Source organism: Homo sapiens, chromosome 18 (genome assembly GCF_000001405.40).
Source record: "Homo sapiens chromosome 18, GRCh38.p14 Primary Assembly".
Lineage (NCBI taxonomy): Eukaryota > Metazoa > Chordata > Mammalia > Primates > Hominidae > Homo > Homo sapiens.
Window position 1 is genome coordinate 60,001,361 of NC_000018.10, and position 24,933 is coordinate 60,026,293.

Sequence of the window (24,933 nt, forward strand, 5' to 3'; positions counted from 1 at the left end):
TCTGGGTGCTCCCGTGTTGGGTGCAGATATATTTAGAATAGTTAGCTCTTCTTGTTTAATTGTTCCCTTTACCATTATGTAATGCCCTTCTTTGTCTTTTTTGGTCTTTGTTGGTGTAAAGTCTGTCTTGTCAGAGACTAGGATTGCAACCCCTACTTTTTTTTTGCTTTCCATTTGCTTGGTAAATTGTCCTCCATCCCTTTATTTTGAGCCTATGTGTGTCTTTGCATGTGAGATGGGTCTCCTGAATACAGCACATTGATGGGTCTTGACTCTTTTTTTTTTTTTTTTTTTGAGACGGAGTCTCGCTCTGTTACCCAGGCTGGAGTGCAGTGGCACCATCTTGGCTCACTGCAAGCTCCACCTCCCGGGTTCATGCCATTCTCCTGCCTCAGCCTCCCGAGTAGCTGGGACTACAGGTGGCCACCACCATGCCCGGCTAATTTTTTTGTATTTTTAGTAGAGACAGGGTTTCACTGTGTTAGCCAGGATGGTCTCGATCTCCTGACCTTGTGATCCGCCCATCTAGGCCTCCCAAAGTGCTGGGATTACAGGTGTGAGCCATCATGCCCGGCCGGGTCTTGACTCTTAATCCAATTTGCCAGTCTGTGTCTTTTAATTGGGGCATTTAGCCCATTTACATTTAAGGTTAGTATTGTTATGTGTGAATTTGGTCCTGTCATCACGATGCTGCTGGTTATTTTGCACACTAGTTGATGCAGTTTCTTCATAGTGTCATTGGTCTTTATATTTTGCTGTGTTTTTGCAGTGGCTGATACTGGTTTTTCCTTTCCCTATTCAGTGCTTCTTTCAGGAGCTCTTGAAAGGCAGGCCTTGTGGTAACAAAATTCCTCCACATTTGCTTGTCTGGAAAGAATTTTATTTCTCCTTTGCTTATGAAGCTTAGTTTGGCTGGATATGCAATTCTGGGTTGAAAATTCTTTTCTTTAAGTGTTGAATATTGGCCCTCAGTCTCTTCTGGCTTGTAGAGTTTCTGGTAAGAGGTCCACTGTTAGTCTGAGGGGCTTCCCTTTGTAGGTGACCTGGCCTTTCTCTCTGGCTGCCCTTAATATTTTTTCCTTCATTTCAACCTTGGAGAATCTGATGATTATGTGTCTTGGAGTTGATCTTCTCATGGAGTATCTTAGTGGTGTTCTCTGTATTTCCTGAATTTGCATGTCGGCCTGTCTTGCTAGGTTGGGGAAGTTCTCCTGGGTAATATCCTGAAATGTGTTTTCCAGCTTGTTTCCATTCTCCCTGTCTTCTTCAGGTATTCCAATCAAATATAGGTTCAGTCTTTTTATGAAGTCACATATTTCTTGGAGGCTTTGTTCAATCCTTTTCTTTCTTTCATCTCTAGTCTTATCTGCATGCCTTATTTCAGCAAGGTAGTCTTCAAACTCTGATATTGTTTCTTTTGCTTGTTTAGCTTTTGATACTTGTGTATGCTTCACAAAGTTCTCGTGCTGTGTTTTTCAGCTCCATCAGGACATTTATGTTCCTCTCCAAACTGGTTATTCTAATTAGTAGCTCCTCTAATCTTTAATCAAGGTTCTTAGCTTCTTTGTATTGGGTTAGAACATGTTCCTTTAGCTCAGCGTAGTTTTCTATTACCCATTTTCTGAAGCCTACTTCTGTCAATTTGTCCAATTCATCCTCCGTTCAGTTCTGTGCCCTTGCTGGAGCAACACTGCAATCATTTGGAGGAGAAGAGGCAGTCTGGCCTTTTGGGTTTTCAGGTTTTTTTGTTGATTCTTTCTCATCTTTGAGAGTTTGTCTAGTTTTGATCTTTGAGGCTGCTGACCCTTGGATGGGGTTTTTTGGAGGCTTTTTTTGTTGTTGATGCTGTTGTTGCTTTCTGCTTGTTTTTCCTCCAATGGTCAGGTCCCTTTTCTGTAGGGCTGCTGTGGTTTGCTGGGGGTTCACTTCAGGCCCTATTCATCTGGTTTGCTTCTGTGCCTGGAGATGTCAGTCAAGGAGGCTGGAGAACAGCAAAATGGGTGTCTGCTCCTTCTGGGATCTCTGACCTTGAGGGGCACCAACCTGATGCCAGTGAGATCGCTCCTGTATAGGATGTCTGAAAACCCCTGTGGGAGGGTCTCACCCTGTTGGGTGGCCCGGGGAACAGGACCTGTTTAATGAAGCACTTTGTCTCTTGGTGGAGGGGGTGTGCCTTTCCCTGGGAGGAAACCCACTAGTCTGGGCTGCCCGGATTCCTCGGAACTACCAGGAGGGAGGGGTGGCTGCAGGTTCCCCCTACGGGCTCAGGCCCGGAGAGATCCAGGTTCTGTCCCTGAGCCTGTGGCTGGAGTTGTTGGAGTTTCTGCAGGGAAGCCTTGCCCAGTGAGGAAGGATGATTCAGGGTTAGGCCTGAAGAGGCACTCCGGTCGCAGTCTGCCATAGCTGGTGTGTTGGGCTGTGGGGACATGTCTTGAGACGAAGCCGTCCAGCTTCCCTGTCTCCAGCAGGGGAAAAGCGCAGCATGGAGCTATAGAGATAGATGCTGCCTTTCCCCCACCCAGAGAGCTTAGGGTGTTAGGCAGTTGTGAGTCCCAGCTCTGGCTGTTGCCCCTCCCTCAAGGAGCTCAAATGGCTTAGACAGCAGGCAGCTGTAGCTGTGGTGCTGCTCGCCCCTGCCCACCGGGAGCTCAGTAAGCTTAATCAGATTCCAGCTGAGAGGCTGTTGAGATTCTGCAGGGCTCTGGGGTTGGGGCGCTAGGCCCTGGAGGTGTGGGCTTGCGAGTGGGATCTTCCGATCCACGGGTTGCGCGGTTACATGAAAAAGCATGGTTTCTCCAGCTGGGTAGCATGTTCAGTTACCGCCTGTCTTGGCTCCAGGGTGGGGGCTTCCCTGCCCCGTGTGGCTCTCAGGTGGATCACCATACCACGCTGCTCTTCCTTCCTCTCTGTGGAACACGCCAGTCTCCTAGCCAGTTCTGAAGAGAGAAGCTGGATACCTGCTGGAAATAATGAAATCCTCATCCCAGAGGGTCCTGAGCCCCAAGTTCCTGTGCCCCTCTCAGTCTGTGGTTGCTATTCTTATGCCTTCCTCTGTTACTATTAATTGAAGGAGGGGCCTGTGGATCTCCTCCTGAGTCGTAATTTTATTTATTTTATGTTATTATCTTTTTTTTTTTTTTTTTTTGAAACAGCGTCTCACTCTGTTGCGTGGGCTGTAGTGTAGTGGCACGATCTTGGCTCACTGCGACCTCTGCTTCCCAGGTTTGCGATTCTCCTGCCTCAGCCTCCCAAGTAGCTGGGTTTACAAGCATGTGCCCCCATGCCTGGCTAATTTTTGTATTTTAGTAGAGAAAAGATTTCACCATGTTGGCCAGGCTCGTCTCGAACTGCTGACTTCAAGTCATCTGCCTGCCTTGGCTTCCCAAATTGCTGAGATTACAGGCGTGAGCCACCGTGCTCGGCCTTATTTTTTTATTTATTCTTTCACTTTTTTGAGTATCTTACAATTTTTAATTTCATTTTGTTATAATTTTTAAATTTATGTTTTATTTCAATAGTTTTTTAGGAGCAAGTGGTGTTTGCTTACATGAGTAAGTTCTTTAGTGGTTATTTCTGAGATTTTGGTGTACCTATCACTGGAGCAGTGTACACTGTACCCAGTGTGTAGTCTTTTATCTCTCGCCCCCATCATACCTTTTCCCCAAAATCCCCAAAGTCCATTGTATCATTCTTATGCCTTTGTGACCTCACAGCTTAGCTCCCACTTATGAGTGAGAACATAGGATGTATGGTTTTCCATTCCTGAGTTACTTCACCAAGAGTAATAGTCTCCAATTCCATCCAGGTTGCTGCAAATGCCATTATTTTGTTCTTTTTAAGGGCTGACTAGTATTCCATTATATATATATCTATCTCACATTTTCTTTATTCACTTGTTAATTTATGGGCATTTGGGCTGGTTCCATATTTTTGCAGTTGCAAATTGTGCTGCTATAAACATACATGTGCAAATGTCTTTTTCGTATAATGACTTCTTTTCCTCTGGGTAGATACCCAGTAGTGGGATTGCTGGATCAAATGGTAGTTTTACTTTTAGTTCTTTAAGGAATCTCCACACTCTTTTCCATAGTGGTTGTACTAGTTTACATTCCTACTGGCAATGTAGAAGTGCTTCCTTTTCACCACATCTTGCCAACATCTATTCTTTTTTGATTTTTTGATTATATTATGGCCTTTCTTGCAGGAGTAAGGTATTATCATGTTGTGGTTTTGATTTGCATTCCCCTGATAACTAGTGATGTTGAGCATTTTTCCATATGCTTGTTGGCCATTTGTGTATCTTCTTTTGAGAATTGTCTATTCATGTGCTTAGCCCACTTTTTGATGGGATTGCTTGTTTTTTTCTTGCTCATTTGTTTGAGTTCTTTGTAGATTTTGGATATTAGTCCTTTGTTGGATATACAGATTGTGAAGATTCTTTCCCATTCTGTGGGTTGTTAACTTTAGTGATTATTTCTTTTGCTTTGCAGAAGCTTTTTAGTTTAATTTGGTTCTACTTGTAAATTTTTGTTTTTGTTGCAATTGCTTTTGAGGACTTAGTCATAAATTCTTTGCTAAGGCTGATGTCCAGAAGGGTATTTCCTCAGTTTTCTTCTAGGATTTTTATAGTTTTACATCTTAGATTTAAATCTTTAATCCATGTTGTGTTAATTTTTATATATGGAGATAGGCAGAGGTCCACTTTAATTATTCTGCGTATGACTAGCCAATTATCCCAGCACCATTTATTGACTAGACAGTCCTTTTCTCCTTGCTTATTTTTGTTGAATTTGTTGAAGATCAGATGGTTGTAGGTGTGTAGTTTTATTTCTGGGCTCTCTATTCTGTTCTATTAGTCTATGTGTTTGTTTTTGTACTAGTACCATGCTGTTTTGGTTACTCTAGCCTTGTAGTATAGTTTCAAGTTAGGTAATGTGATGCCTTTGGCTTTGTTCTTTTTTGCTTAGGATTGCTTTGGCTATTTGAGCTCTTTTTTGGTTCCATATGAATTTTAGAATAGTTCTTCTAATTCTCTGAAATATCATATTTGTAGTTTGATAAGGATAACATCAAATCTGTAGATTGCTTTGGGCAGTATGGCTATTTTTAACTATATTGATTCTTCCACTCCATGAGCATGAAATGTTTCACCATTTATTTGCGTCATCGGTGATTTCTTTCAGCAGTCTTTTGTAATTTTTATTGTAGAGATCTTTCACCTCCTTGGTTAGATGTATTCCTAGGTATTTTATTTCCTGTGGCAATTATAAATGGAACTGCCTTCTTGATATGGCTCTCAGAATTACCATGATTGGTGTATAGAAATGCCACTGAATTTGTGCATTGATTTTGTGTCCTGAAACTTTACTGAAGTCATTTATCAGTTCTAAGAGCCTTTTGTTAGAGTCTTTAGGGTTTTGTAGGTATAGGATCGTATCATCAGCAAAGAGAGATGATTTGACTTCTTCTTTTCCTATTTGGATGCCTTTTATTTCTTTCTTTTGCCCCACTATAATTTTATATCCTAAAGACAATTTGTTTTGGAAGTGTCTTTTTAATTTAGTACATTGCAGAATACCAAGAAGGAGATAAAAGGGCTCCCAGTCTCAAGAAGCTTAGTTGTGCAATTATTAAGACATTCAAATTTAAAACAATACAAAGAAAAAATAGTGAACTGAAACAAAAAGAAGACAACCTTTGGATTCAGCATTCCTAGATTTCCCAGCTTCTCTATTTAGTAGCCATAATCTCTGAAAGTAACTTAACCTCCGAGCTTCAGTTTTCTTATCTATAAAATGGAAATTTTAGCAATACCAAATGTAGGTAATGAGGGTCAGGAGGTAACATCTAAATCATTTATTCATATGAGAGTTTATATAAAAATTAATAGCAGAATATGGGATACAGACAAATAATATTCTAGAATTATACAGGAATGATTACTTATGCTATAGTGGCTTGACAGGATTTTCAATTTTTAGCAGAATTTTGAAAAGTGTGGAATAATGAAGGAGCTAGTCCAATTATGGAGAATAATGTGAACAAAATTTTGGAGCATTATTTATCTAATGTAATAAAAAACGTAACCTTGTCCAAAGTAGGTTTGTTTAGGGAGCTGAGCAAGATAAGCCTGACAAAATGAAGACAATTTGAATGCCTGGATGGCTGTCTATTTAAGGAGAAGGATGAAACCAAGATGAGCTTTTAGGCTGTATTATGCAGGAATTCTTGGACACGATTCATTCTTAGCCCCAAACATCTGTTTACTGTCCCTATATTTTTGTCTTTTCTAGAATGTCATCTAAGTAAAATCATACACTATTAGCCTCTTGAATCTGGCTTCTTTCACTTATAATTCATTTGAGTTTCATTTATATGGTCGTATGTATCAGTAGTTTGTTCCTTTTTATTGCTGAGGAATATTTTATTGTATGGCTGTATCACAGTGTGTTTATTTACCAGTTGCAAACATTTGGGATGTTGCCAGGTTTTGGCAATTATGAATCAACATTTGTTTAAAGGTTTTTACATGAATATTCAATCTTCTTTTCTCCTGGGTGACTGCTTAGAAATGGGATTGCTGGGTCATATGGTATGCTTATTTTTATAAGAAATGGTCATACTGTTTTTCAAAGCGACTATAATATTTTGCATTCTCTTCAGCAATGTATGAGAATTCATCCATATGTCATTTTATTTGCTTGTTTTAAAAAATGAACTTCATTTTTTAGAACAGTTTTATGTTTACAGAAAAATTGCCAAGATAGTAAAAAGAACTCATATGCCCCACACTGAATTTCTCCTGCTGTGAACAACTTACTATTACATTATATAATTGTCACAATTCATGAAGCAATATTTATTCCAGCACTGAACCAACATTTTTCCAATATTGAGTATATTTTAATACTGAACTGACATTATTATTATTAATGGAAGTCCATCCTTTATTCAGATTTCCTTAGTTTTAACCTAATGTTCTTTTATTGTTCCTGGATGCCATCCAGGATCCCACATTACACTTAGTCACCATATCTCTTTAGGTTGCTCTTGGCTATGACAGTTTTTCAGACTTTCTTTGTTTTTGATGACTTTGACTGCTTTGAGGATTATGGTCAAGTATTTTGTAGAATATCCCTCCATTGGGATTTGTCTGATGTTTTTCTCATTGTTACGCTGGGGTTATGGGTTTTGGGGAGGAAAACCACAGAGGTAAAGGGGCTATTTTTGTGTCATAACAAGGGTACCTATTATGATTTAGGCATAATTTACCACTGTTCATGTTGACTGTGACCACTTGGCAGAGGTAGTGTGTGTCACATTCCTCCATTCTAAAGTTACCTTTTGCCTCCCCTTAACTCTATATGTGATTCTTTTTTAAAAATATTTTTAATTCACAAATAATAAGTATATATATTTATGGGGTAAATTGTGATGTGATATTTTGATATATGCATACAAAGTGGAATAATTAAATTAATCTAATTAACATATCATTACTTCACTTATCTGTTTTTGTGGTGAGATATTTGAAATGTACTCTCTTAGCAATTTTGAAATATACAATGCATTAACTATAGTCACTATGCTGTGCAATAGATTGCAAAAACTTATTCCTCTTGTCTAACTGAAACTTTTTCTTTGACCAACATCTTTCCACTCCCTCCCTCCCTCCATCAGTCTCCAGTTACCACAATGCTACTGTCTACTTCTATAAGTTCAACTTTTTTAGTTTCCACATATAATTGAGACCATGAGGTGTTTGTCTTTTTGTGCCTGTGCCTGGCTTATTTCACTTAGCAGAATGTATTCCAAGTTTATCCATGTTGTTGAAAATGACAGAATTTTCTTTTTTTTAAAAAAAGGCTGGCTAGTATTTCACTGGCATGTTTAAAAAAATACATGTATCCATTGGTGAATGCTTAAGTTTATTCCATGTCTTGGCCATTGTGAATAACGATTCAATAAACATGGAAGTGGAGGTTTCTCTTCAACATATTGATTTTATTTCCTTTGGATATGTATTGAGAAGTGGGATTGCTGGGTCACATGGAAGTTCTATTTTTAGTTTTTTGAGGAATCTTCATACTGTTTTCCATAATGGCTGTACTGTTTTACATTCCCACCAACAGTGCACAAGAGTTACCTTTCCTTTACATTCTTATCAACGCTTATCTTTCATCTTTTTTTTTTTTATAATAGCCATTCTAACAGGTATAAGGTAATATTGCATTGTGGCTTCCATTTTCATTTTCTTAATGATTAGTGATGTCAAGCATTTATTCATGAACCTGTTAGCTGTTTGTAAGTCTTCTTCTTCTTTTTTTTTTTTTTTCTTAAAATCGCTGGCTTTTATGACGATGTCTTCTAAGAGCTCATTAGAATCTATAAGATAGCAGGAATTTTGCCAACAAGGGCTGCATAGAAACCACAGGGGCAACTCGGCCAGGGCTGCTCCCATTGCGGTGGCCAAGAACTGGCTGAGGGCACGACACTGGACTCTTGGGATAAACACTTTACTCTGGGTGAAGGCTGCATATTTAAGGACACAACTGCACATTTAGATCAAGCAGTGGTGATCTCAGGGCATACACGGAGCTTCATGCTGAGAACACCCAGGGGTCCTCTAGAGTCTTCCTCCTCGTCTTTAATTTCAGAAATTCTGTCTACAGATTTAAGGATTTCGGCAGCAAGATTCAGTATCTCAGCTCTGGAAACCAGTTGCTTAATGGAAGCCTGTGCGCTGTTCATGACCACCCAGAGGTTCTGCAAGGCCACGTCGGCGTTCTGCTTCACCACTGTCAGGCTGGCCCCCTGGTCGCACCGCAAGGCTTCATTCTCTCGCTGGAAGCTGGAGACCTGCGCCTGCAGCAAACTGATTTCCTGTTTCAGTTTCACGACATGGTTTTCTGCCTTTACAGCCCGTTTGGTCATCAGCTCCAGGTTCTGCTCCACCTGCTGAACCACCAACTCCAAGTCGTGGTAGTCGCTTTCCTCGTTGATCATTTTTGCTTCTAATTTCCGCACAAGCGTCCTCACCATTTCTGTTTGAGCTTCAGAGAAGCTCTGAATCTCATTCAGCTTTCTTCTCAGCTTAGAATTTTCACCTTTCAGTGCTTCGTAACTTATCTGCAGCGTCCGCAGGTGCCTGTCTCCCAGAGACTCTCCCTGAGCCGCAAAATCGGTGCTAGGACTCCCTGCCGGAGAGGCCGGAGACACGCGAGAATCAGTGTCACTCAACGCCCACGGGAGCAGAGACTCGGGCCCTGCCAGCTCTGACGGGGTGGAGAAAAAGGAAAGGTATGTGCTGCAGGGCGACGTGCAGGCAGGGACCCTCTCCGGGTGAGTCTGCTGGATGGCGGACGGCAGGTAGGCCCCACTCCATCCGGTGTCCTCATCCTCCTCCTCATCCAGGAGGTCACCGGCCCCTGTCGGGTCCTCGAAAAATGGCTGCCGATACTCCAGGCCATACCCCCCGGTTTGGGAGAGTGGGGAGTTGTGGTCAAGTCCCAGTGAATGCCTCGACGCTTCCTTTGCATAAATTCTGCTGACCGGGTCCTCTTTTGACAGGCCGATGTTCTTGGTCTTCAGAAACTCTTTAAAGGAGAATGGATTTGCCTCTTCAAGATCTTCAAATTTGTCATCTCCAAAATGTGTCTCGTGGGCTCCTGACGGGCTCTGCTTAGAACATTTCCCCTTTCCATAGCCCAAATCGTCGGGAATGGCGAGGCTCCGGGCTCGGGACAGCGGGGTGACGCCCCGGCGGCGCGGGTAGCTCGACATCGCCGTGGGCCAGGCGGGGCAGGCGGGGCAGGACCTGCCTAGCCCGGCAGCGGCGGCTCAATGGCCCCTGCTCTGCCCGTGCCGCGGCCCGTGTCAACCGCCCCCGTCGCCCGCCGCTCGGCCGCCCCCGATCCTCCGAACCTCTCGTAAGTCTTTTGACCAATGTCTATTCAGGTCCTTTGCCCATTTTTAAAGCAGGTTATTTGTTTTTTTGCTATTGAGTTTAGTTCCTCATATGTTGTGTTAGGCCATTCTTATATCACTCTAAAGAAATACCTGAGGCTAGGTAATTTATTAAAAAAAAAAAAAATAAGAGGTTTAATTGGTTTATGGTCCTGCGGGCTGTACGGAAAACGTGGTGTTGGCATCTCCTTCCGGTGAGGGCCTCAGGGAGCTTACAATCTTGGTGGAAGGTGATGGGAAGCCAGCATGTCACATGGTGACAGTAGGAGCAAGAGAGAAGGGGGGAGGTGCCATACTCTTTTTAACAACCAGATCTTGCCTGAACTTAGAGTGAGAACTCTCTCATTACCAAGGGAATAGAACTAAGCCATTCATGAGGATCCATCCTCATGATCCAAACACTTCCCACCAGGCCCTACCTCCACTACTAGGGATTACATTTCAACATGAGATTTGGAGCAAACATCCAAACCATATTATATGTTTTGGATAGTAACCCCTTATCAGATGTATGGTTTGCAAATATTTTCTCCTATGCCATGTATTGTCTCTTCACTCTGCTATTTGTTTCCTTTGCTGTGCAGGAGCTTTTTAGAGTGATGCAGTCCTATTTGTCTCTTTTTGCTTTTGTTGCATATACTTTTGGGGTTATATTCAAAATATTGTCCAGACCAATGTCATGGAGCTTTTCCCTTATGTTTTCTTTTAGTAGTTTAACTACTAAAATAAAGTTTCAGTAGTTTAGTGAAACTACTAGGTTTCAGGTCTTAATTTGTCTTTAATCCAGTTTGAGTTGATTTTTGTATATGGTGAAAATAAGGATCCAATTTCATTCATCTACATTTGGATATCCAATTTTCCCCACACCATTTATTGAAAAAGCTGTCCTTTCCTCATTGTCTCTTCTTGGCACCTTTATTAAAACTCAGTTTTCCATAAATATTTGGGGTTATTTCTGAACTCTATCCTGTTTGACTGGTTTTGTGTCTGTTTTTATGGCAGTACTGTGCTGTTTTGATTACTATAACTTTGTAATATATTTTGCAGTTAGGTACTATGATGCCTCCAGCTTTTTTCTTTTTGGTCAAGATAGGTTTGGCTATTCAGGGTCTTTTGTGTTTCCATACAAATTTTAGGATTGTTTTTTCTATTTCTTTAAAGAATGACGTTGGAATTTTGACAGGGATTACACTGAATCTGTAGATTGCTTTGGATATTATGGATATCCTAACAGTATTAATTCTTTCAATTCATAATCATGCCTTTCCATTTACTTCTGTTTTCTTCAGTTCCTTTCATCAATGCTTTATAGTTATCAATATATAGATCTTCACTTCCATGGTTAAATTTATACCTAGGTATTTTATTTTATTTTTTTGCTATTGTTAATGAGATTGTTTTATTAATTTCTTGTTCAGATAGTTTGTTGTTAGTGTTGAAATGCTACCGATTTTTGTATGTTGATTTTGTATTCTTCAAATTAACTGAATTTGTCAGTTATAATGTTTTTATTTGGTAAAGTCTTTAAGGTTTTCTATATGTAAGATCATGCCATCTGTAAACAGGGACAATTTAACTACCTCCTTCCAATTTGGATGTTTTTTCATTTCTTTTTCTTGCCAAATTGCACAGGCTTGGACTTCCAGTAAAATGTTGAAAAGAAGTAGTGAGATTAAGCATTCCTGTCTTGTTCTAGATCTTAGAGGAAATGCTTTAAACTTTTCACTGTTACAAATATTAGCCGTGGACTTGCCATTTAAGGACTTTATTGTGTTGTGGTACATTTCTTCTCTACCGAATTTGTTGAGAGTTTTTATTATGAAACGAATTTGAATTTCATCAAATTCTTTTTCTATATCTACTGAGATGATCATATAATTTTTGTTCTTCATTCTATTAATAAAATCAGAAACAAAAGAGGAGACATTACAACTGATAGCACAGAAATACAAAGGGTCCTTCGGGAAGCCGAGGCAGGCGGATGACCTGAGATCAGGAGTTTGAGACCAGCCTGGCCATCATGGTGAAACCCCGTCTCTTCTGGAAACTACAAAAATTAGCCAGGTGTGGTGGCAGGCACCTGTAATCCCAGCTACTCAGGAGGCTGAGGCAGGAGAATCGCTTGAACCCAGGAGGCGGAGGCGGAAGTTGAAGTGAGCCAAGATCGTGTCATTGCAGTCCAGCCTGGGTGACAGAGCAAAACTCTGTCTCCAAAAAAAAAAAAAAAAAAAAAAAAAAGAAATACAAAGGGTCACAAGAAACTACCATGAGCAATTATACCCCAATAAATTGGATAACTTAAAAGAAATGGGTAAATTCCTAGACACATATAACCTGCCAAGACTGAATCATGAAGAAATAGAAAATCTGAATAGACCAATAATAGATAAGTAGATTCAATCAGTAAGAAAAAGTCTCCCATTAGGCTGAGGCAGGAGAATGGCGTCAACATGGGAGGCAGAGGTTGCAGTGAGCCGAGATCACACCACTGCACTCCAGCCTGGGCGACAGAGCGAGTCTCCGTCTCAAAAAAAAAAAAAAAAAAAAAAAAAAGTCTCCCATTAAAGAAAAGCTCAGGACTGATTGGCTTCACAGATGAATTCTACCAAACATTTAAAAAAGTACTAATGCTAATCCTTTTCAAACTCTTCAAAAAAAATTGAAGAGAAAGGAATATTTTCAAATTCATTTTATGAGGCCAGCATTACCCTGATACTAAAACTGGACACAGACACTACAAGAAAAGAAAGTTACAGGCCAAAGTCCCCGATGAACATAGATGCAAAAATACTCAACAAAATACTGGCAATGCGAATTCAATAGCACATTAAAAAGATCATTCACTATGGTCAAATGGGATTTATCCCTGGGATTCAAAACTATTGCAACATATGCAGATCAATAAATGTGATACTCTATATGTGGTTTTGATTTCACCCCCCCCCTTCTCAATTATTTTCTCTGTCCTATACCATAAGTGTTTTTTTCTATATAGTCTTACTATCAGCCTTGAATCATGCTTCAGAAAAATTATCAATCTTTTTGCTTTTAAAGCTTATCGATTTGTTCTAATTCAAGAAACTTAAAAAACAATGGAATTTGGGTGATTCTGAGTGAATTGATTGGGGTGGGGCACAGGCATCAGTATCTTTTAAACAGTCCTCACATTTGCCTTCCCACTGGGTACCCCCTTACCTGATGAAATCCTGTTTACCCTCCAGGGCTCACCTGCATATCATTTCCTCAAGGACATCTTCCTGAAGAGTTTGATCTAAATCAGGTGCTCTCATAGCTCCCTGTTTCCTTTCTTTCTTTTTTTTTATTTTCTAATAAGACTAGATTTATTCAATACCCTAGTAAAAGTTTTGATTATAAGTATCCAACAGTATAAAAAGTACAAAACAGATCTGTAGATTTCTAATATATTAATACAAAGTGCATGACTACATACAGTACATCCTACAGGCAAAGAGAGGTGGAAGGGGAAAAAGAAGACTGTGGTTGAGGTCTAGTAATAAATAAATAAATACAGAAGTAGAGATGATCCATATTATAGTATATTCTACCACCAATACTGCAGCCAAAATGTACAAAAAAATCATTTCAAAATAACTCAGGAGGATGATAATGGCTGGACTTTTGTAATTCGCCTCAAAGACTGTGGGAGAAGCCAACTCAACTCGCTGTATAGTCTGTGCATATGGTGGCTTGTAGCATGTAGGTTTTTTCCAAAAGAAGGAAATATAAAATGTTTAGATTAAGAACTATAAAACTACAGGGTGCCTATAAAAGGTGGCTTACTCCTTATTGTTATTATACTATCCAATTTTTAAAATGCAGTTTAAAAAATGAGCACTGAGTCTTGTTATTACAAGGCAGGCAAATGTTTCTCCCTCATTCTGAAAAGACCGAACTGGCGATGCTTTTCCTGAACATTTAGAAAAGAGGCAGTAAGAGTACTCTGGTTTAGGTTCAAGTGAGAGGCTTTTCATGAAAATCTTAGGATTGAAGAGCTCTAAGTTCAGGATATCTCAATGTTCAGAAAGCCTGACTAAAAGAAGCCAAACCAAAACCATTTAATGTGAACACAAACCTCTTTTCTTTTAGTAAGTTTTACTTTTAATACAGAGTGAAAGAAAATAAAAACTTAATAGGCTAAAACAAGTCAAACACCCATTCTACACAGATAAAAACCTTCACAAAGGTCAACTGAAGTAATCCAGAGCTGAAACTGAATTGTAAAGATTTTCAATGAAGTCACAGAACACAAACAAAAGTCGATTATATTTACACACTCAGCAAGCCCTCTAAGAAATGTGCCCCAAGAAGCATTAACCTTTGTTTTGTGCCATCCTGAGGACTTGTACATTTTATTTTTCAGATAGCTTAACATTTTTAATCGAGTGTGTTCTCTACCATGCGGTAATGCTTTGGTACTATTCATACAGGGTCTCGCCTGTCCTAAAGACTTGCCATTTCCCCAAGAGGAGCTTTGATTCTGCTTTAGAAGTTTTACAAAAATTAAAATCTTTATCAAATATTAATATGAAGGGAGGCACAGGATGCAACATATATAGTCAAGTTACCTCTCTGTATATTTAGAAGTTACTTTCTCCTCCAAGGTATTTGCAACAGAAAGCTCAGTCTGTCCTGCTTAATAATCAGTAGTACAGGTTTGAATCATCACAAGCTTGGCAAGACCTTAATATTTCAAAATCATTAACAACTACCTCTAGGGGCAAGTTCATGTTACTGAGTTATGACAAATTTATTATCATGAGGGAAAACAAGTAGCCAGCCATCTTAAAAATGCCCCAACCACTGCATCTCAATACAGAAAGACTAAAAACTACATACAGTTTATCATACAACAAATCCCATCTCTGTCCCCTGAAATTCCCCTAGTTTCATTCATTAGAAGGGGATTAAAAAAAAAAAAGACTTAAAGAGTACTTTACAGCAGCATTCATCTTTCCTATGAAATACTCAGCATCTTAAATATTATGTACCACTCTTTTTTTAGTAAGCTGGACACTGGCTTCAGAGTTTGTGGGACTAGGGGATATCAACCCATTCAAAACTACTGTAGAAATTGTCTTTTGGCAGAATAGCAGGTATCCAAGTTAAAAATAAGAGGGTCATTTGAGACCAGCCTGGCCAATGTGGTGAAACCCCGTCTCTACTAAAACTAAAATATTAGCCGGGTCTGGTGGCGGGCACATATAAACCCAGCTACTTGGGAGGCTAAGGCAGGAGAATCACTTGAACCCGGGAGACGGAAGTTGCAGTGAGCCAAGATCACGCCACTGCACTCCTGCCTGGGTAACAAGAGCAAAACTCCGTCTCAAAAAAAAAAAAAAAAAAAAAAAAAAAGAGGGTCAGTTTGCTGCTTTGTGGTCTTTTCAAAATTCAGATTTTTTTTGTTCCCCTTCTACATAAAAACCTCAGTCACCACTCCTGAGTGGAGATGGGCAGAGGCTCTGGCCCCTGCTCCTCTGGCTTCTCGGCAGCTGCTTTCTTATTGCTGCAGCAAGGCTTGAAGGGATGTGTGTCAATGAGGACTTCCCCAAAACGGCCTTTATAGTTGATCCCACAACATATCTTCTGTCTTTTCCAGTATGTGAGATCTAAAAAGGAAAAAACTGGTGTTCTGTTAGAACCAGAAGCCATCTCTGTATCTGAGCCGTCATCTGACTGGTTACTGTAACGAGGAGATGGAGCTGGGGAGGCACTTGAGGTGGTATTGTGAGCATCAGAATTATGACGTTTAAATTCCTTCTGCAGTTTACTGATCTGGTTGCTTTTTATCCTGTTCCCAGATAGAGTTTTCACTTTCTTTGGTTTCAATGTAGTCTTTAGACTGGGTCCAACCCTTGCATCTACCACATGATTCCAGTTTTTTTTTTTGATCCTGCTGGCAACTTCTTCCATCTTTTCACAAGCAGGACACAGGCATTGCAGATGTCTCCTGAACGAGTCTCATGCAATCCAAAACAGCTCTGGAAGTCCTTTTCATAGCGTTTACTGTCAGTGAATCGAGAACTGGAGGACTTAGCTCTGCAAATACAGTAGCCCTCTATACTTCGGTACATCTTTGGCTTGTGAAAAACAAACATCTTTTCTTCTGGGTAATAGTCTTCCGTAAATCGCGCTTCCCCCTCCGGCACTCCGGTGACTGCTGAGAGAGACGCCGAGCCAGCAAATAAGAATGCTCCCTGGTGGATTTGTTGGTAAATAAGACATCTCGCGTCGGGGGCAGCTCGCCGGGGCGAGGGCGAGGACAGCAGGAGGTGAACCGCGTCGCTGGCCGCCGCCTCCCTCACCTGCCTGTTTCCATTCTTAGAGCGTTGATCATATCTCTAATTCAGAGTTTCTTTATTATTATTATTATTATACTTTAAGTTTTAGGGTACATGTGCACAATGTGCAGGTTAGTTACATACGTATACATGTGCCATGCTGGTGCGCTGCACCCACTAACTTGTCATCTAGCATTAGGTATATCTCCCAATGCTATCCCTCCCCGCTGCCCCCACCCCACAACAGTCCCCAGAGTGTGATGTTCCCCTTCCTATGTCCATGTGTTTTCATTGTTCAATTCCCACCTATGAGTGAGAATATGCGGTGTTTCGTTTTTTGTTCTTGCGATAGTTTACTGAGAATGATGATTTCCAATTTCATCCATGTCCCTACAAAGGACGTGAACTCATCATTTTTTATGGCTGCATAGTATTCCATGGTGTATATGTGCCACATTTTCTTAATCCAGTCTACCATTGTTGGACATTTGGGTTGGTTCCAAGTCTTTGCTATTGTGAATAATGCTGCAATAAACATACGTGTGCATGTGTCTTTATAGCAGCATGATTTATAGTCCTTTGGGTATATACCCAGTAATGGGATGGCTGGGTCAAATGGTATTTCTGGTTCTAGATCCCTGAGGAATCGCCACACTGACTTCCACAGTGGTTGAACTAGTTTACACTGTTGGTGGGACTGTAAACTAGTTCTAATTCAGAGTTTCTAACCCTCTGCACCACTGACATTTTGGGCTGGATATAACTGTGTTCTGGTGGTCTGTCCTGTGCCTTGTGGGATGTTTTGCAGCATCCCTGGACTCTGCCCACTGGATGCCAGAAGCACCTCATCCCCAGATATGGCAACTGAAACTGTCTCCAAACATCGCCAAATGGCCCCAGGAGGGAACCTCTATCCCTCACTCCATTAGAACCACTGCTCTAACACATGGTTATTTTATATGTAGTCTGTCTCCCCCCCATACTATAAACTCCAGCAGGGTGCTTGCTTTGGCAATACATATATACCCAAATTGGAATGATACAGAGATTAGCATGGCCCCTGTGCAAGGATGACACACACTTGTGCAGCATTCTACTAAAAAAAAACTGCAAAACCATCAGAAGAGCTTTCTTCTCTCCTAGATTCCCAAGGACATACCCCAATGCCTAGGCACATCCCAGATGGTGGACAAGAATTTGTTGAATAAATGAATGACTGAGATGGCTAAGCCAGGATTTCACAGCTCTAATGACGGTGAAGACCACAGGTGTCAACAGCAGAGAAGAAAAGGAAGGAATACATCTGAGCCACATTTAGAGAGCAGAAATTAAATTTTATGGGAACACAGTCACTTCCATTCATTTGCATATAATCTACGGCTGCTTTTTGTGCTACAGAAGGCAGAGCTGAGTAGTTGCAACAGAGACCACATGACTCATGAAGCTTTAAATATTTACTTTTTGACCCTTCACAAAAAGAGTTTGTAGACCCCCTTTTTAGAGATTGTGTTTAGAATATAAATCCTAAGTAAACTATTATGAAAGTAGCTAAATGATTTTAATTATTTGCAAAACAGATTTCTATTTTTACACATTTTACCATTGCCCTATTTCTCACACACATGAGAAATTTGCATGCACAAACATGCATTGCAGAGACGTTCTTTCCTGATAAATAGTTTATCCTGTTACTGGATTTTTTTTTTTGAGGGGTTTTGAATGCCTTCCACTCCTCTTTTCCTAGAATGTCAGAACTTCTTTTTTTAAAAAATTTCAATCTTCTAGTTTTCTAAAGATTTTGTTGGGAACAAGGGAAAATTAAGAAAAAGGGTCTCAGTCCTCTGTGTAAAAAACTATTTTTTTTACAGCTTTTGTCATGCTAAAGACACAAATCTGTTTATTTTGTGGTTGCTGACGGAATATATAAATTCTGTCTTGAAGATTGTGTGAAGCTTTCATAGTTCATTCGCTGATTCATTCAACAAGCATTAAGAAATGCCTTCTGAGCACTGGGCCCTGCGGATGCAGAGATGCATAAAATGCATTCTTTGCCGGTAACCTACCAGCAGCAACAGACTGGAAGCAATTACCTGGAAGACAGCCTTGTTTGTGCTAAAATAAAGTGAAAATGGGAGTGCAGGGAAGTTCCAACCAAGGCTGCTTTACAGAATGGAAGGAAGCATAGGTTTTGTATCTTAAATTATACTTTTACTTGTTATTAATAGATCCTAAGGTGCCAGTATCGTTGGTTAGAAAAAGTTTTACCCCCAAATCTAAAACTCAAATGTAGCATCAACTATAAGAATCATGTTTAATTATTTTCCACCAGTCCTCTCCCTATTAGCATGAAATATAAGAATCAAGTTGGCCGGGCGCAGTGGCTCACGCCTGTAATCCCAGCAAATTAGCCGGGCGTGGTGACGGGGTGCCTGTAGTCCCAGCTACTCGGGAGGCTGAGGCAGGAGAACGGCGTGAACCCGGGAGGCGGAGCTTGCAGTGAGCCAAGATCGCTGGGCGACAGAGCGAGACTCCTTCTCAAAAAAAAAAAAAAAAAAAAAAAAATCAAGTTTTATTTGATCATTTCCTGAAAATCCTCTCCTAACTGCTGCTGTTAGCACAGGTGATGTCCTTAGGATTGAGCTCTGCGTGCAGCATGGAACATCTGGGTACTCAGGAGAAGACTGTGGGATTCAGTACAGTTCTGGGTAATCGGGTACCTGCATCTGAGTTCACATGTAACCAAGGTCTCTTCAGGAAGGGTACCTGAGGTTTGTGTCCTTTACTAAGTATCTCTTAGGTTCCAGCCCACTGAGCTGGCATCTTTTCCCAGACAGTATTATTTTCATGGGTGGAGTGAAATAAGGTCTGAGGCAGTGTTTCTGTCCTTGAATGTTGCTGTGTATTGGAATTACCTAGCGAGCTTTGAGTCCTGAAACCAGGCTACTTCCCAGACAAATTACAGTACAACATGGTGTCTGAGGGCAGGACCCAGACAGCTGTAGTTTTTAAGCTCCTTAAGTGACTCCAATTTGCAGCCAAGTTTGAAATGGCTGCTATAAAATCAACAACTCTGAAATGTTAGCTTGCCCTAAAAGTTCCCACTGGGCCTGTTAAACAGATTGCTGGGCTCCAGCCCCAGAGTTTCTGATTCAGTGGGTGTGGGGCAGCTGGGGAATTTGCATTTCTAATAAGTTCCCATGTGATGCTGATGTGCTGTTCTGGGGGAAAACACTTTGAGAACCACTGCTTTAAATTAAAGTAATGAGAAGGAATGACTGTGGGAGAATAGTGGTTCTGCCTATTTCTTCACTAAGTTGGTCCAGTCTGCTTTTTGAAGAACGAGAGTGGAGAGGGTCAGGCTGGAGATGTTACTGCAGTAGTTACTGTGTGCCTTTAAGACATTCTTGGAATGATATATAACCCATCTTTAGAATGCACTTGCCCTATTTGGGAAAACACAGTACTTTTCAGGGTCTCTCACTTTGCCTCTCTCTCTCCCCCTTTCTTTCTCTCTCTCTCTCTCTCTGTCTCTCCCCCTTCCTAGAAAAAGCTTGAGAAGGGAAATTTGTTAAAATACTAAAGGGCATCTAAGGGAATCAGTTGCATTCAAAACACTTTTAATGTTAGAGGAAATTTGACATGTGAAAAAGTTTTTGTAAATAGCGATCTTAAATGCTGTAGGTATTTCTGATGGTTTTTTTTTTTAGCCCTACGGGAACAACTTGTAGCTAATAGCAGAAAGACTCATTCCACATTAAATAACAGTGAGTTCAAAAGTAATACTAAATACAACACAAATAAATAAACATATTTTAACTGTCTATATTGACATCAGCAAAGAGCACCATGGCCACACCTTAATTACCTTAAGCATTTATGAAGCAGTCTCATACCACCCCAAACTGATTTTTCCTTCAGCCCACCTCTTATGTGACATAAAACCAGATATTTATATTACATTCTAAATACCCTTTCAAACACTTCATATCCAACTGAAGGAATACTCTTCTTGCTAGTCATGATTATTTAGCATCTTCTATTTATATATGCCATTTAATGAGTGAAAATTTCCCAGTGGCTGTGAAATTCTAGAAAGTAAATCAGAACAGAGGACACATTCACTAGTAGATAATTACAGTCCCTGGAGAATTTATAACAACATAGATATTTTAGGAAGGAAGTGGTAAAGTCAATTAGGCAAAATCTACAGAAGTAAAATGGCAAGCTGGCCAGTGTTCTCTGAATTTGAGTCCTTATCCTCTGAAAACCCAAGAGCTCTTTGATGTGATGTTTTCCTTTTCCTTATTTAAAGAAAGACTTTATTTTTTAAGAGCATTTTTAGGTTCACAGCAAAATCAAGAGGAAGGTACAGAGATTTCACACATATCCCTTGTCCCCATACAAGCACAGCCTCCCCCATTACCAACATCCCCCACCAGAGTGGTACGCTTGTAACAATCCACAAACCTACACTGACACATCATTGTCACCCAAAGTCCATAGTTTACATTAGGGTTCCCTCTTGGTGTTTCACATCCTATGGGTTTGAACAAATGTAAAAAGACGTGTATCCACCATTGTAGTATCGTACAGAATATTTACCCTTCCTACAGATCCTCTGTGTTCTGCCTGTTCATCCCTCCCTTTCCCAAAAACCCTGACAATCACTGATTTTTTTTTTTTTTTTTTTTTTTAAGACGGAGTTTCGCTCTTGTTGCCCGGGCTGGAGTGCAATGGCATGATCTCGGCTCACCGCAACCTCTGTCTCCCAGGTTCAAGTGATTCTCCTGCCTCAGCCTCCCTAGTAGCTGGGATTACAGACATGTGCCACCATGCCCGGCTAATTTTGTATTTTTAATAGAGACAGGGTTTCTCCATGTTGGCCAGGCTGGTCTAACTCCCGACCTCAGGTAATCCGCCCGCCTCGGCCTCCCAAAGTGCTGGGATTATAGGTGTGAGCCACCGCGCCTGGCTCTGACAATCACTGATCTCTTTACTGTCTCCACAGTTTTGCCTTTTCCATACTGTCATCTCATTGGAATAATACAGTGTGTGTTGCCTTTTCAGATTGGCTTCTTTTCCTTAGTAATAGGCATTTAAGTTCCTTCCATGTCTTTCCACAGCTTGATAGCTCATTCTTTTAGGACTGAATAATATTCCATCATCTAAATGTACTTCCTTTTCTTTTTTTATTCCTTCAAATGATTAATCTTTCTTTCCACTCTCTGTTGCCTGTTTATACAATCCAAGGACACTTAAAAACTCCTTGCTATAAGAGATTATTCTTGTATGACTAAGAGTTTATAAATGATCCAGAGTTGTAGAAAGCAATCTGTTTTAAGAAGAAGAAGCAAGAAGGAGCAGAAAGAAGACATGCTTTGGAGTTGCCTTTCAGCAGTTCCGGCAGGTTGAATGTGAAAGCTAACATAGCCCCTTGCAAGGCTCTCGTGACTACTAACAGGGAAAATACAGAAGTGAGTCTGCTACTGAGTGGGTTCTCAGTCTGTAAATGTTGGTTCCTTCACTTTCAATTGCTTGAAGAGTTTATTTCCTTCAGCAAACATTTACTTAGAGACTTCTCTGTGGCATGTTTTGGGAATACAGAGATATGAAAGATAGTTCCTTCTTCTGGAGGACTTCATAGTGTAAAAGAAAGGTAGAAAAATAAACAGGCGGCCAGGGGCGATGGCTCATGCCTGTAATCCCAGCACTTTTGGAGGCCGAGGCGGGTGGATCACGAGGTCAGGAGATGGAGATCAACCTGACTAACATGGTGAAACCCCATCTCTACTAAAAATACAAAAATTAGCCGGGCGTGGTGGCATGTGCCTGTAGTCCCAGCTACTCGGGAGGCTGAGGCAGGTGAATTGTTTGAACCCAGGATGTGGAGGTTGCAGTGAGCCGAGTTCGCGCCACTGAACTCCAGCCTGGCAACAGAATGAGACTGTCTCAAAAAGAAAAAAAAAAAAAATATATATATATATATATATATATATATATATATACACTGATTGAAAAACTTATTGTAACATTAGTACAGCCAGAGTCTGTGGAAAAACACAAGGCTCAAAAAGTTCAATTTAACAACAATTTATTGAGCATCTACTATGTTTTATATATTATTCTTTGCTCTTGAGATGTATTTGTTACCATTAATAATAACAACAACCACAGTGAACCAAAAAGATCCCTGCCTGAGGAACCAGGGCAGGGTAGGTGTGTATGTGTACAGAAATAAACAGTAAACATCATAAGTTATATGACATTTATAAGTCAAATCCATGTTACTTTAGAGGGTAATAAGTAATAATGATAAGCTGTAGAAGAGAAAAGATCAGAGTAAGTAGGATGGGTCAGGTTGGGGCAGGCAGTTTACGATTTCACATAGGGTGGTCAGCGTAAGCACAGCTGGCCCTTGAACAGCATAGGTTTGAACTGTGTGGGTCCACTTACATGTGAATTTTTTTTTCAATAAATATATTGGAAAGTTTTTTGGAGATTTGTGACAATTTGAAAAAACTTGCAGATGAACCACATAGCCTGGAAATACTGAAAAAATTAGGAAAAAGTTATGTTATGACTGCATAAAATATATGTAGATATTAGTCTATTACTTACTATCATAAAATATACACAAGTCTTATAAAGGTAAACATTTATCAAAAAGTGCACACACTTACAGACCATATGTGGCACCATTCATAGTAGAGAGAAATATAAATGAATGTAAAGATGCAGGATGGAATCATAACTGCATAAAATTAACTGTAGCACATACTGTACCACTGTAGTAATTTTGTATTCACCTCCTGTTGCTATTTCATGAGCTTAAGTGTTGTGAGTATCAGCTTAAAACTGTGTGACCCTAATCATCTCTGAGTGAGCAGTTAATCTCGCCAGTACATTGTGTATGGAAGTAAAAAGTGATGTCTCAAGGTTCTGGCACATTGTGTTTATTGCAATACCATAAACCTTGAATAACATCATGGGGCTCATACAAAGTGCCACCAGTGATTCTGGGAGCACTGCTGAGATGCAGAGAAACGTCAGACACGTCTTGTAAACAGGCAACATATTTATGGCATCAATAAATGCAGTATGGTATTGTGAATGTATTTCTTCTTCCTTATGATTGTCTTAATAATATTTTCTTTTCTATAGTTTGTTGTATGAGTATAGTCTCTAATATATTTAACATTAAAAATTGTGTTAATTGGCTGTTTACGCTATTGATAAGGCTCCCAGTCAACAGTAGGCTATTAGTAATTAAGTTTTTTGGGAGCCAAAAGTTATACATGGAGTTCTGGCTCCATAGGTTGGCACCCCTAACCCCTGCATTGTTCAACTGTGGTCCTCATTGAGAAGATGATCTTTAAGCAAAGACTCAAAGGAAGTGAAGAAATTTACTAGGCTAATTTTAGAACAGACTGTTCCAGGAAGCAGGGATTTGTTGAGTATGCCTGGAGTATTCTAGGAAAAGCTGAAAGACCAGTATGGCTGGAGAAAGAACAAGAGAGAAAGAAGGAAATTATGGTCAGGAAAGGGAACAAGGCAGAGAGAGATCATTTAGGGCCTTAAAGATTGAAGAAAAATCAGTGTAACCTATGACATAGTTTTCAACATTAACTGAATAAACACTATTCTCTACTTGTAATTTTCTATAACAGATATTTCTAATTTCACCATTACAAGTCAACAATCCTCAGAATTTTTGAAATAGATTTCTGAATAATGCAGGGAGGATTGCTGACCTTATTAAACAGACATACTGAGGAACCTAGCTTTATCATGACAAGATTTAATAAGCAGTGATTCAAGATAAACTTTGTGGAAACTGTCATTTCACTACTTTTTATCCTTCTTTCTACCTAATTAAATAAATGTTAATGGGTGGCCTAATGCTTTGTACCATCAAAAGCATGTGATGTGTTTCAACAGCTCCTTTCCTTAAACATTGTTAGGTGCTATTTAACATATCATTTCACACAAGAATTTTACAATGGTTGAATTAAAAAATTTAGAGCTTTTAGTAACTTATTTTTTTATTTCCTGATTTCTCATCAAATATCAGGGAGGATACCCAAAAAGACAGAAGTAAAAAGAAATGTTAAGGAAGCAAAAAAATAGAAGCCTCAACCAAATGTGTCAGTTGTAACAAGAAAGTACATAGAACATCCCTCCCACCATTTTTTTGTTGATATAGATATTTTATTGGTGGTTGTCTGTTTTAGACAGTTGTGCTATATGAACATTGTTATTATTTTAAATGTTGAATTATAACAGAAGTATCAATATGTCACAAATTTTATAAACACACATTTGGAAAATGATACATTTTCCATTTACCATGGTTTATTTCTCCCTACTATTATTGTGTTTTTTGAGCTCTTTCTAATTTTTCTTAGAATAACTAATGATATTGGGCACTTCTTCACAGAGAAAACATCCCTCTCTTTCTCTCACTGTCAATCTATTTATCATATTTTTCTGTGTATATGAAACAAATTCTTAACCTAACAGAAAAAAGGAAATTTACAAGGAAAAATATGTATTGTCTAAGAACATGCCCCTGGGCTTCTGACGCACCTGCTTTTGAATCCTGCCTCTTCTGTGAGACAAACCTGCTTATTGCTGAATCTATTTAATATTTGAACTTATTATATATAAA

General features: G+C 39.8%; 3 pseudogenes; 1 reads left to right on the top strand and 2 right to left on the bottom strand.

The window, feature by feature from the left end:
* Positions 1-8,424: 8,424 nt before the first annotated feature.
* Positions 8,425-9,904, bottom strand: ENTR1P1 (ENTR1 pseudogene 1; annotated as a pseudogene).
* Positions 9,905-15,229: 5,325 nt separating this feature from the next.
* SINHCAFP2 (SINHCAF pseudogene 2) lies at positions 15,230-16,124 on the bottom strand (annotated as a pseudogene).
* Positions 17,265-17,371, top strand: RNU6-567P (RNA, U6 small nuclear 567, pseudogene; annotated as a pseudogene).